Source organism: Homo sapiens, chromosome 19, assembly GCF_000001405.40.
Source record: "Homo sapiens chromosome 19, GRCh38.p14 Primary Assembly".
Classification (NCBI taxonomy): Eukaryota; Metazoa; Chordata; class Mammalia; order Primates; family Hominidae; genus Homo; species Homo sapiens.
Window position 1 is genome coordinate 11,836,061 of NC_000019.10, and position 12,358 is coordinate 11,848,418.

The following is a 12,358-nucleotide window of genomic DNA, read 5'->3' on the forward strand; positions in this document are numbered from 1 at the left end:
CCCACCACTTTGCTAGTCCAAAGCGGGTGGATCACTTGAGGTCAGGAGTTCAAGACAAGCCTGGTCAACATGGTGAAACCCTGTCTCTACTAAAAATACAAAAACTAGCTGGGCATCGTGGTGTGTGCCTGTAATCCCAGCTAATCAGGATGCTGAGGCAGGAGAATGGCTTGAGCCTGGAGACAGAGGTTACAGTGAACTGAGATCACACCATTGCACTCTCCAGCCTAGTCGACACAGCGAGACTCTGTCTCCAGAAGAAAAAAAGAAAGAGTTGGATGCACCTGAATCCAACCCCTGCCTCATCCTTCTCCCTTGAAGGCCAAATACACCCTGATACTTTTCACCAAAGAGTAGAAACAACACCATTCACTTGACCCCAAATGTGACTTTCCACAGGATGCAAACACAGTGTTGGAATGGCCAATGACAATGACAATGAAAATGCAGGCTGAGGGTGATGAACAGGACACACTGGAGAGCCTGACATCGGCCTAGACTATGGGGGTGTCTTGATGCTTCACAAAGAGCCCAAGGAGCACCCCAAAGAGGACACTGGAGCACAGGCCCAAAGGGTGTTCACATGCCAGGAAGGCCACTAATTTTGAAAGTCAGGGACATTGGTGCCTGCTTGAGTCCTGATGCTTTATCTATAACATATGCTTTTCTGCATCTGGTTAGACAAGGAAATCTGAAATTTTTGTTTCAGCATTTAGAAATAAGTTATTTAAGCAATCCTCACACTCATGGTTTATTCTGGAACTACCTTCAGACACACAGCTACAGATAGGGTATATAATGAGTATTTCCAAGGCTACACTCTGTAGGAAAAAACTTCATGAAGTCAGTGGGACCCTCTCATGGGAGGGTTTTAAGACCCACAATCAAAAAGGTGGGGAAACATTAGAGTGGAAGGAGGGCAGCAGAAGGTCAAGGACTTTCCCGGAGGCCTAACATACCCAACATTATTACCCTAGATGAAAACCAAATACATATCCTAACACCACATACTCTCTTCAATGTTTAACAGACAAAATGAAATGTATTCAAAGCTAAGCTTCCAGAATTCCACTTTACGCTATTAATGATGTTTTAATATCCCTCAATGTGTTGATATTAGGACATTTTTAAATATGAATACCATTTTCTGGTTATATATGGAAAATATCTTGATTTCTGAGATACAAAAATGCTCATTTTTAGATATACATGGTCTTGCACTTTTTTTATAAAATAAGGTGAAAAGACAGGAAAAATTTTTTCAGATCATGGAACTTGGATTAATAGGAGAAGAGTCATACAAATTTATTTAACATGTATATATGGGAGCCTTCAGAATGAAGACCCACCCAACAATAAGACAAAAAAGCTTATATTACCATTCTGAGGCCAAGAAAGAATGCAGACTTGGCTGGCCAAAAAATCCCGGGTTTGGTGGGTAAGTCAGGTTTAATGGCAAGACAGATTAGGGAAGAGGAAAGGAAGAAGCTTACCTCCTGTGTAGCTAAGGAGACCTTGTTATGTAGATGAAGGCTCCCTCATAGAGAATAGGTGGGAAATGCTGCTTTTCAGACTTTTATTTAGACTTTTAAGTAATAGGGACAGGATTATGCTATGTTGCCCAGGCTGTTATCTAATTCTTTTTCTCAAGCAATCCTCCCAGCTCAGTCTCCGAAAGTGCTAGGATTACAAGCATGAGCCGCCATACCCAGACAGGGTTTGTTCCCTTGTAAAGAATTATTTGTTGCTGGACACAGTGGCTCACAGAGGCCAAGGAAGGAGGATCACTTGAGCCCAGGAGCTCAAGACCTGCCATGGCAACATGACAAAACCTCTTCTCTACAAAAAATACAAAAAATTAGCTGGATATGGTGGCACGTACCTGTACTCCCAGCTATCCAGGAGGCTGAGGCAGAAGGATAACCTGAGCCTGGGAGATTGATGCTGCAGTGAACTGTGATTGCAGCACTGCACTCCGGCCTGGGCCACAGAGTGAGAGCCCTTCTAAAAAAAAAAAAAATATATATATATATATATATATATTTGTTCACTTATTGCAGCTTCAGATTTTTAAAATTAATTGTAAATTGCATTTTCACTACAGCTGGAAAAATAAGAAAATTTTGCACAGAGCCAAGATAAAAATAGATGTCAGAAATAAATCATTAGTCTTATATAGCATTTGTTTCAAAAAAAAAATTTTTTTTTTTTGAGACAAAGTCTCGCTCTCTCACCCAGGCTGGAATGCATTGGTGTGATCTCGGGGCATTGCAACCTCTGCCTCCTGGGTTCAAGTGATTCTCCTGCCTCAGCCTCCTGAGTAGCTGGGATCACAGGCACGTGCCACCACACCTGGCTAATTTTTGTATTTTTAGTAGAGATGGGGTTTCACGATATTGGCCAAGCTGGTCTCGAACTCCTGGCCTTGTTATCCACAAGCCTTGGCCTCCCAAAGTGCTGGGATTACAGGCGTGAGCCACCGCACCCAGTCTCAAAATTCTTAATTTTTTTCTTCTTCAGATGTGGTGTAGTACATTTCTTAAGTCTGTCCTTTTTTGTGGATGATTTCTTTATTTCTTTTTCTTTCTTTCTTTCCTTTTTTTTTTTTTAAGATAGGGTCTGGCTTTGTTGCCCAGACTGGGATGAGGTAGCACAATCTCAGCTCACTGCAATCTCCATCTTCCAGGCACAAGCTATCCTCCCACCTCAGCCTCCGTAGTAGCTGAGACCACAGGCACACACCACTACACCCAAAGTGCTGGTATTACAAGTTTGAGCCACAGTGCATGGCCATTTTTGGATGATTTGTAACAGAGTTTCAGGGCATAGCGTTGAGAATGCTGATTGGGAAAAGAAATAGAGAAAATCTTTTATTACAGCTTGAGAAAATGAATAATCTTCCACAATAAAGTATAGTAGATAAATTGGTGAATTACAAAGATTCAGCAAAATACCAGTCCTCCTTTGCAGGTTGGGGAACTTGTAATGGTGGATAACTCTTCTTCTTCCTGTTATCTGTGGGGTAAGACCTGGCTGGCAACTGTTGTCATATGTTTGTGTTCACATATGATTAATGTGTAGTATGTGCTTTGTTATCATGGAAATAATAATGAAATAATATTGTGCACCTTAATAAGATAATAAGATTCAGAGAATATGATTAAATGCTGAGTTTATCTGAGCACATAGTTTGAGGATAGCCACTGGGGAAACAGATATCCTGAAGAGTGGGGTCAGTGCTCCAACACGGGGAATTTGAGTCTTCTCTTCTATAGGGCAAAATGAAGCTTAACAGGGTGACATTTTCCATACAAGGCCGGTGCACACATTTCAGTGATTTGATAGGTTGCAGCTACCAAATTTCAAGGATGATTGCTTTAACTTTTTTTTTTGGATGGAGTCTTGTTCGGTCGCCCAGGCTGGAGTGCAATGGCGCAATCTCAGCTCACTGCAACCTCCACCTCCCGGGTTCAAGCAATTCTCCTGCCTCAGACTCCTGAGTAGCTGGGATTACAGGCACGTGCCACCATGCCCGGCTAATTTTAGTATTTTTAGTAAAGACGGAGTTCACCATGTTGGTCAGGCTGGTCTCAAACTCCTGACCTCATGATCCGCCTGCCTCGGCCTCCCAAAGTGCTGGGATTACAGGTGTGAGCCACTGCAGCCGGCCTGCTTTAACTTTTTGTAAGGAGGGGTAGTGGTCTCAAAAGGATCCTACCTCTGGCACTTCTCTGTCTTTTCTAATCATTTACAGCCTAAGAACAAGGAAGAGAATCTTTTTGACATGCACAGGGAAGGAGCAATTACATAGTAGTGTAAACACATTTCTCAATATGTTTATTGACTGAAAGGGTTAGATACTTTTATTTTCCCTGATGAGGATGAAAGGTAAGTGCCTTATAAATTCCTGCCTGCCTGTAAACATAAACTGAGTTTGAGAGATTTTGCTGGATTCTTCAAACAGTGGGTATTTTCTCATTGAAACAGAGGCCTGAGTCCAGGGACTGCAAGCTAAGGCCAATGACAAGCCTACAAAGAGAGGTCATTGAAAGCTCACACCAGGCGCATTGGCTCACACTTATAATCCCAGCACTTTGGGAGGCCAAGGTGGGCAAATCATGTGAGGTCGGGAGTTCGAGACCAATCTGGTCAACATGACGAAATCCCATCTCTACTAAAAATACAAAAATTAGCCGGGTGTATTGGCTCACGCCTGTAATCCCATCCCTTAGGAGGCTGAGGCATGAGAATCGCTTGAACTCGGGAGGCGGAGGTTACAGTGAGCTGAGATCATGTCATTGCATTCTAGCCTGGGCGACAGAGCTAGACTCTGTCTCAAAGGAAAAAAAAAAAAAAAAGAAAGCTCACTTGGTTCTTCCCCTGCAGGTGCCCCAGCTACTCACATTGACCATGGGAGGAGCCCTTTATACTGAGAGAATCTGAGATCCTTGGAAAGCTAGGGATCCACAGGCAGATACGGTAGTCAGTGATGCCCTCCACAAGTGATAATTTTTGTCATGGGGCTTTTCCTAGACATTTGTAGTGAAACAAATGTGAGTTTAGGTAAGAAATAACTTTTAATTCTAGACCTTGAAGCCAGCTTGTCCTGCGGGTTGAGCACGGTGGCTCACGCCTGTAATCCCAGCACTTTGGGAGGCCCAGGCAGGTTGATGATGAGGTCAAGAGATTGAAACCATCCTGGCCAACATGGTGAAGCCCTGTCTGTACTAAAAATACAAAATTTAGCTGGGTGTAGTGGCACATGCGTGTAGTCCCAGCTACTCAGGAGGCTAAGGCAGGAGAATCGCTTGACCATGGGAGGCGGAGGTTGCAGTCAGCCGAGATCATGCCACTGCACTTCAGCCTGGTGACAGAGCAAGACTCTGTATCAAAGAAAAAAAATAAAGACGTCAGCTTGCCATTAGGAGAGGTCATAAAAGGAGTCTAGGTACTGAACTTGTAAGTAAAAAAAAATTTTAAATAAGGCCAGGCCCAGTGGCTCACACCTGTAATCCCAGCACTTCAGGAGGCTGAGGCAGGCAGGTCACCCCAGGTCAGGAGTTCAAGACCATCCTGGCCAACATGGAGAAACCCTGTCTCTACTGAAAATAGAAAAATTCGCTGGGTGTGGTGGCGGGCGCCTGTAGTCCCAGCTACTCGGAAGGCTGAGGCACAAGAATCGCTTGAACCCGGGAGGTGGAGGTTGCAATGAGCCAAGATCACGCCATTGTAATCCAGCCTGGGTGGAAGAGCTAGACTTCGTCCCCCCGAAAAATAAATAAATAAATAAATAAATAAATGGGGTTGTATATAGGCTTAGAATGGGTCAGTCAGAAATTCAGGGGCCACTGGTCGTGGTGGCTCATGCCCATAATCTCAGCACTTGGGGAGGCTGAGGTGGGCAGATCACTTGAGGTCAGAAGACAAGTGTGGCCAGCATGATGAAAACCCATCTCTACGAAAAGTATAAAAATTAACTGGGCATGATGGCACACACCTGTAAACCCAGCTACTCTGGCGACTGAGGCATGAGAATCACTTGAACACCAGGGAGGCGGAGGTTGCAGTGAGCCAAGATCATGCTACTGCACTCCAGCCTGGGCTACAGAACAAGACTGTCTCAAAAAAAGAAAAAAGTTCAGGGACCTGGAGGTAGGAGAGAAACTGAAGCATGCTTTGGTTAATAGATATTTCGTTCTGACTGATCACTAAAGACAAAGCTATTCACCTAATGGTTTGTGAGGTAAATACTGGAATGTCTAATCTGTATCTGGTTTGTCATAGGTAACAAACGTGGCACAATCTAAGTCATAATGCGAAGGGTGTTTCATTGCAGTAAGGTGCTCTTGCACAACACAAAGGGTGGGGGATTCTTTTTTTTTTTCTTCTTTTTTTTTGAGACAGAGTCTCGCTCTGTTGCCCAGGGTGGAGTAGAGTGGCGCAGTCTCGGCTCACTGCAACCTCTGCCTCCCAGGTTCAAACGATTCTCCTTGCTCAGCCTCCTGAGTAGCTGGGACTACAGGCACATGCCACCTCACCCTGCTCATTTTTGTGTGTGTTTTTAGTAGTGACGGAGTTTCACCGTGTTGATCAGGCTGGTCTCAAAGTCCTGACCTCAAGTGATCCACCTGCCTCAGCCTCCCGAAGTTCTAGGATTACAGGCATTAGCCATTGCACCTGGCCACATTTAAGAATTTTATTTTATGATTTGGGTGTTAGGATTTTAATTAGCTGGTTGGAAACTTAGTGAATAGTTTGATAATGTTTGAAGAAGGAAAATGAGTTCTTGAAATAAGCTGTTTTATGCCAAGTCAAAATAATAAAAATATGAATACTCAGACACATACCACCCCAAAAAATAAATAGGCCTTGGGCATTTCTGGTGTGTCTCACTTATTTTTGATACGCAAAGGTGACCAAAGTTTTGATTCTTTTCGTTATTCTTTGTAGCTTTGTCATCTCTTTGTCACAAAGCAGAATTTTGCCACTTTTGAATTTTTAGTAACAGAATATTACCATTAATACACCATTAGTATTATGCTGAGAGGGTGTCTTTCTGGTTTTCTTGCCTGAGCCTGTTGCAAACATGCTGCTCCGTGAAGTTGTGGGTCACGTAATTGACTTGCCCATTCCACTACTTAATGGCACTTGAGTTGGTTCAAGTTTATCTTTTGATCTTATTGACAATGCTCTTCTTGTTTTTATTCCTAATTGGAAATACAACAGAAATTTTTACACATTGGGAAACAATTGCTGGGTTGTAGATTATGGATAAATTCAAATTTACTAGGAAATGTGGATAGAGTATGAATGTAACTTATGAGTTAACCATCTCACCTTTCATGCATGTGTCTTTATTCTTGTGATTTGCCAACACTTTGAATTATCTAACTCACTTTTTGTTGCCCGTCTACTCTTAGACAGAATTTCTGTGTTTCTTTTTGCTTTTTACTTGCTGCCGTTGGTTGAGCATTTTTCTTATATGATCTTTCATCTTCTGTGTAGCAGATTCCAGTCATCCTCTTACATTTGACTAATTTGTAGGGTTTTTTTTTCCTTTTTTCTTTTTTTTTAATTTGAGACAGTCTTGCTCTGTAGCCCAGATGGAGTGCAGTGGTCACTCACTGCTCACTGTAGCATCAGGCTCGTGGGCTTGAGCAATCCTCCCACCTCAGCTTTCTGCCCAGTTAATTTTAAAAAATTTTTTTGTGGAGACAGGGATCTCACTGTTTTGCCCAGGCTGCTCTCGAACTCCTGGGCTCAATCAATTCTCCTGCCTCGGCCTCCCAAAGTGCTGGGATTGCAAATAGGAGCCACCACACTCAGCAATGAGGGTTTTTTTTTTTGTTTTAAACAAGATATCCGTACATGTTTCTGACCAATATTTTATTTAAAATCTTTAAGAACTACATATTAACAAAGGTTATTCTGTTTTTCATTTTCTGTTTTCCATTTTCATTATGACTACTTGTTTTTCTTTCTTATTCTCATTTTTTTCCTAGATCATTACAATAATTTTCCATGTAGTGGCCCTGGCATGCATTTTGATCCTTCATGCAATCATACAGCTACCTCGATGTCCATTCTCTCTGCCATTCTGAAATTGGACCTCACTCCTTTTTGACTCTAGCTCTCCATCTGCTATGTGATAAAGTCCTGTCTTGTGATGGTTACTATGGGACTGAATGAAGAAGGGCAGATGCAGAAATAAAGACAAAAGATCTATGTTAAAGAAGGGATCAGGGGGCTCCTTGCTTCTAGTGAGCAAGGGCCCTGAGCTTCTATAGCCCTTTGTTTTTATTGGGTAGAAAGAGCAGGGAGGAGGAGGTAATGGTTGGTCAGCTGCTTGATTTATCACAGGTTCACATGATTACTTTCTTTGTACAACAGGCTTCAGATGTGCCTGTAGATAATCACAAGAAACACTGCGCTTGGGGAGTAACTGCCCTCAGCATTCTTTCTGGGTGGCAGACGTAGTTTGTCAGTTTGCCAACAAGCTGCATTCATGAGAAGAGTTTGCTGTTTGCTCATTAGCCTCCAGTGGTATACTGAGTTGATCAGGACCCCCATTCTTTCAGCCTCCAACACTGTCTGATTACATTGTTTCCAAAGCCTCTTTTATGGACTTCTGTTTACCCCTTGGCGTGTCCTGCATTTACTCTCCTCAAAATGTGTACTTAGAGGCCGGGTGCGGTGGTTCATGCCTGTAATCCCAGTACTTTGGGAGGCCAAGGCAGGAGGATCCCTTGAGCCCAGGAGTTTAAAACCAGCCTGGGCCACACTGGGAGACCCTGTCTCTAAAATAAAATGTATACTTACAAGCCCTAAACCCCAACAGGGTCATATTTGGACACAGACCTTTTAGGAGATCACATACATTTATAAAGGAGAGCCCTCATAATGGGATTAGTAAGAAGAGAGAGAATTCTCTGTTTCTCCAGCATGGGAGGACAAAGCAAGAAGGCATCTAGCTGTAAGCCAGGAAGATAGCCTTCACTGGGAACAAAATTGCTGGCAGCAAGATTTTGGACTTCCCGCACTCCAGAATTGTGAGAAACAAATGTTTGCCGTTTAAGAAACTGAGTCCATGGTATGAGTCCATGGTATTTTGTTATACCAGCCTGAGCTAAGTCACCCCAAGAGTCCTCACATTAACCATATACTGTCGTACAAGTGCTGCATTTGGATCTACCTGGAATGTCTCCAAGTCTTCTACTTTTCCTCTTGGACCCATTGTGAGAATAGGTTTTGCTTCATAGGCAACTGCTGGTGATAGTAGTGATAGCCCATAACAACTAGGGAGTTAAAGAAACTTCCTTTCTCTCTCTCTCTCTCTCTGTTTTTGAAATGGAGTTTTTGCTCTTGTTGCCCAGGCTGGAGTGCAATGGCACGATATCGGGTCACTGCAACTTCTGCCTCCTGGGTTCAAGTGATTCTCCTGCGTCAGCCTCCCGAGTAGCTTGGATTACAGGTGTGCACCACCACGCCTGGATAATTTTCGTTTTGTTAGTTACAGACGGGGTTTCACCATGTTGGCCAGCTTGGTCTCGAACTCTTGACCTCAGGTGATCCACCTGCCTTGGCCTCCCAAAGCGCTAAGATTACAGGTGTGAACCACTGTGCTCGGCCTCTTTTATATGTGTGTGTATATATATATATTCTCTTTTTTAATAAAAGTAAATAGAAACTAGGTCTTACTATGTTGCCCAGGGTGGTCATAGCCCAAGATTTTGGGCTCAAGCGATCTACCCGCCTCGCTCACCCAAAGTGCTGAGATTAAGGCGTGAGAAACTGTGCCAGGCCAAATGAAAGAAACTTAGTGGGAGGCCTGGCACAGTGGCTCACACCTGTAATCCCAGCACTTTGGGAGGCTGAGGCGGGTGGATCACTTGAGCTCAGGAGTTCAAGACCAGCCTGGACAGCATGTTGAAACCCTGTCTTTACTAAAAATACAAAAAATTAGCCGAGCATGGTAATCCCATTCTCACAGTCATAGAAAGGTTCTTTTTTAAGGATTCTACCTACTTGAGAGCATCATATACTGCCAGCACTTGTTCACTTCAAGAGTGTCTGGTTTCATCTCTATGACATAATTACAACCAAAATCCTAAAGGAACTGATTTACCACACTGTGTTTGCCATAAGGCCCAATTTGTACCTGCAGCAGCAGCTGTATCATCCCAACTCACAGCTCTACCCTCTAAAGGTGTGCCTGAGGCTTGTGATCCAGTCCATAGGGAAATATCACTACCTGCTGTGTTTTATAATTGGACCATCCAAGGGTTGTCAGGGTTTTCCCAGAGAGTTTTGTGGGATTTTTTTTTTTTTTTGAGACCAGGTCTTGCTGAAGTTAGTATGGCAGCATACTAACACATTAACCTGTCGAAAGCTTCCTGCAGAGCTGTGTCCCAGTCTCAAAGTGCCCCTTTCTAATAATTCTATATATTGGTATCAAACTTTGGGCTAAGTGTCAGATAAATGCTCTCCAATAATCCAAAGACCAACAAATGTCTGGATTTCTTTTTTCTTTTTTGTTTTTTAAGAGACATAGTGTGGTTCTGTTTCCCAGGCTGGAGTGCAGTGGTGGGATCATATAGCTCACTGCAGAAACTCCTGGGATCAAGGGATCCTCCTGCCTCAGCCTCCCAAGTAGCAGGGAATAAAGGCACATGCCACCATGCCCAATTGTTTATAAATTTTTTTGTACAGATGGAGTCTCACTGTATTTTCCAGGCTGTTCTTGAACGCCCAGGCTCAAGTGATTCCCCAACCTCAGCCTCCCAAAGTGCTGAGATTACAGTCATGAACCAATGCACCCAGCCCTGAAAAGGAAATATTTCGAATGGAAATTCAAAGGGAGAACATCTAATGTTCAAGTTGATGTCTATAGAGCAGTTAACGGGAACTATCATTTAGGGTCTGTGGGATTCTAGGACACTAGGTATGAAACAAATATGAGGAAGGTCAGAGAACAAGCTGACTTAATGATTAATGCTGAAGGTGCTGCCAGCTTGGTTTAAGTTTTCCTCCTCCCTTCCTCCCTGATGAATTTGATAAAGTTTAAAGGGATGGTTTCACCAGGGGCCTTTTACATTGACAGCAAGGAGGTCATCCGCCTGGTAAATCCTCAGTAGTCCAAGCCTCTTACATGGCTAGAATGATCCAGTCCATAAGGAAACGTCACCACCCTCTGTGTTTTACAATTAGACCATCCAAGGGGGTCAGGGTTTCCCCAGGGAATTTGGTGGGATTTTTTTTTTTTTGAGACCGTGTCTTGCTGAAGTACAGTAGCCTGATCAAAGCTCACAGCAGCCTCAAACTTTGGGGCTCGAGTAATCCTCCTGCCTCAGGCTCCTGAGTAGCTGAGACTAAGGGTACACACCACCTCTCCAGGCTAATAAAAAAAAAATTATGGAGATGGGAGTGTCTCACTTCACTGCTCAGGGTGGTCTTCAACTTCGGGCTTCAAGTGATCCTCCCACTTTGGCCTCCTAAAATGTTGGGATTGCAGGTGTAAGCCATGGCACCCGGCCTCCCAGGCTGTTGTTGAAAGGTCTTTGCAATCTCTAAGAGTTCTGCAGCAGTTTATTCCCTGACAGTGAGAGTCTCATCCTTTCACCCCATTTTGCAGCAGTAGTTGGGTGTTCACTTTTCTTTCCATAAGGAAGCGAGCTTGCCAGTGACCCTCATCCCCCTCCTCATCGATGACTTCTTTGTCATCAGAGCCTTCCTCTTCATAAATTCCCACGGAATCCAAGTTTTCACGTCCCAAATTATGATAGCCACAGGCCCTCACCAGCTGCCATAGCACCCCATTTCATGGAAGCCACCTGACTCTTCTTTGAGCATCCTGTCCCAGGAGCCCCCATCTGTGCTCTCCCGGGCTCCAGGCCCTAGAGCCGCGCTGCTGCAGAGCCCAGTTCCCAGGGCTGCTCCCTCCACGTATCCACATCCATCTCCAGCTTTCCACCCTTTCTCTGACCAGACAGGCCTGGAGGTGCTGCAGTGTCAGTGACCGTGGGTCCCTCCGCTGCCACCTCCACCGCGATCTGGAAGTCTTTTAAATGTACTTAAGTTATCTTAGAATTTTCCTTCCCCACTTTATACATAAACATAGGAGGAGAGCAGGGACTCTGCTGGTGTCTTATTCACACAATGGGATTGAGGGTGTTTGTGTCATGGAACTGATCAATGGGGTGAGAAGTAGCTGAATAACCTGCAGGGGCAGCAGAGCCCGAGGCCAGTGACTCCACGCTGAGGCCAGTCTGGAGCCTGCAAAGGAAGGGAAAGGAGCTTTTCCTGGGGGCTTCCTGGGCAGCCCGCCCTCCCCTACAGGTGGCCTCCAGCTGCTCAGAGCAGCTCCAGAAGGAGTGTGGATTCCGAGAAGCTGTAGGGCCCTGGAAAGCAGAAGACCTTCGTGCAGACGCATTTGTGGGGTTCTGTCCTTTCTGGTGTTGTACCTCTGGAGCCTGGGGCTGTCTTCTGGGCAGGGTTTGGGGTTTGACATACATGGGGTCGCTGGAGTCAGAGTTATTTGTATATATAAAGAAAATGTGTGAAAATCAGGCTAGAGACACAATTGTTTGGTGGCGTCACCTGGATAAAAGGTTTATGAGGTTGACAGTTTATTTAGGTCCGAAGCTTAACCCCAGGTGAGAGTTTCCTGCAGGTGAAAATGAAGATCTGGAAGGACGGAGCATTTTCATACTGTGAGGAGGGGATGGGGGTGTGTGAGCAAGTCTTGGCCATGCCTCATCCCCAATTCCGGCCCGCTCGAGGAAATATGCCTCTCCTCCTGGTGCAGTCTTGCCTGGCCTGGTCTCGGTTCCCCTGCTGCTCTGAGGCAGGAGATGGCTCC

At 44.5% G+C, this 12,358-nt stretch overlaps 1 pseudogene; it reads right to left on the minus strand.

Annotated features, from left to right (window-relative positions):
* Window positions 376-611, minus strand: VN2R13P (vomeronasal 2 receptor 13 pseudogene; annotated as a pseudogene).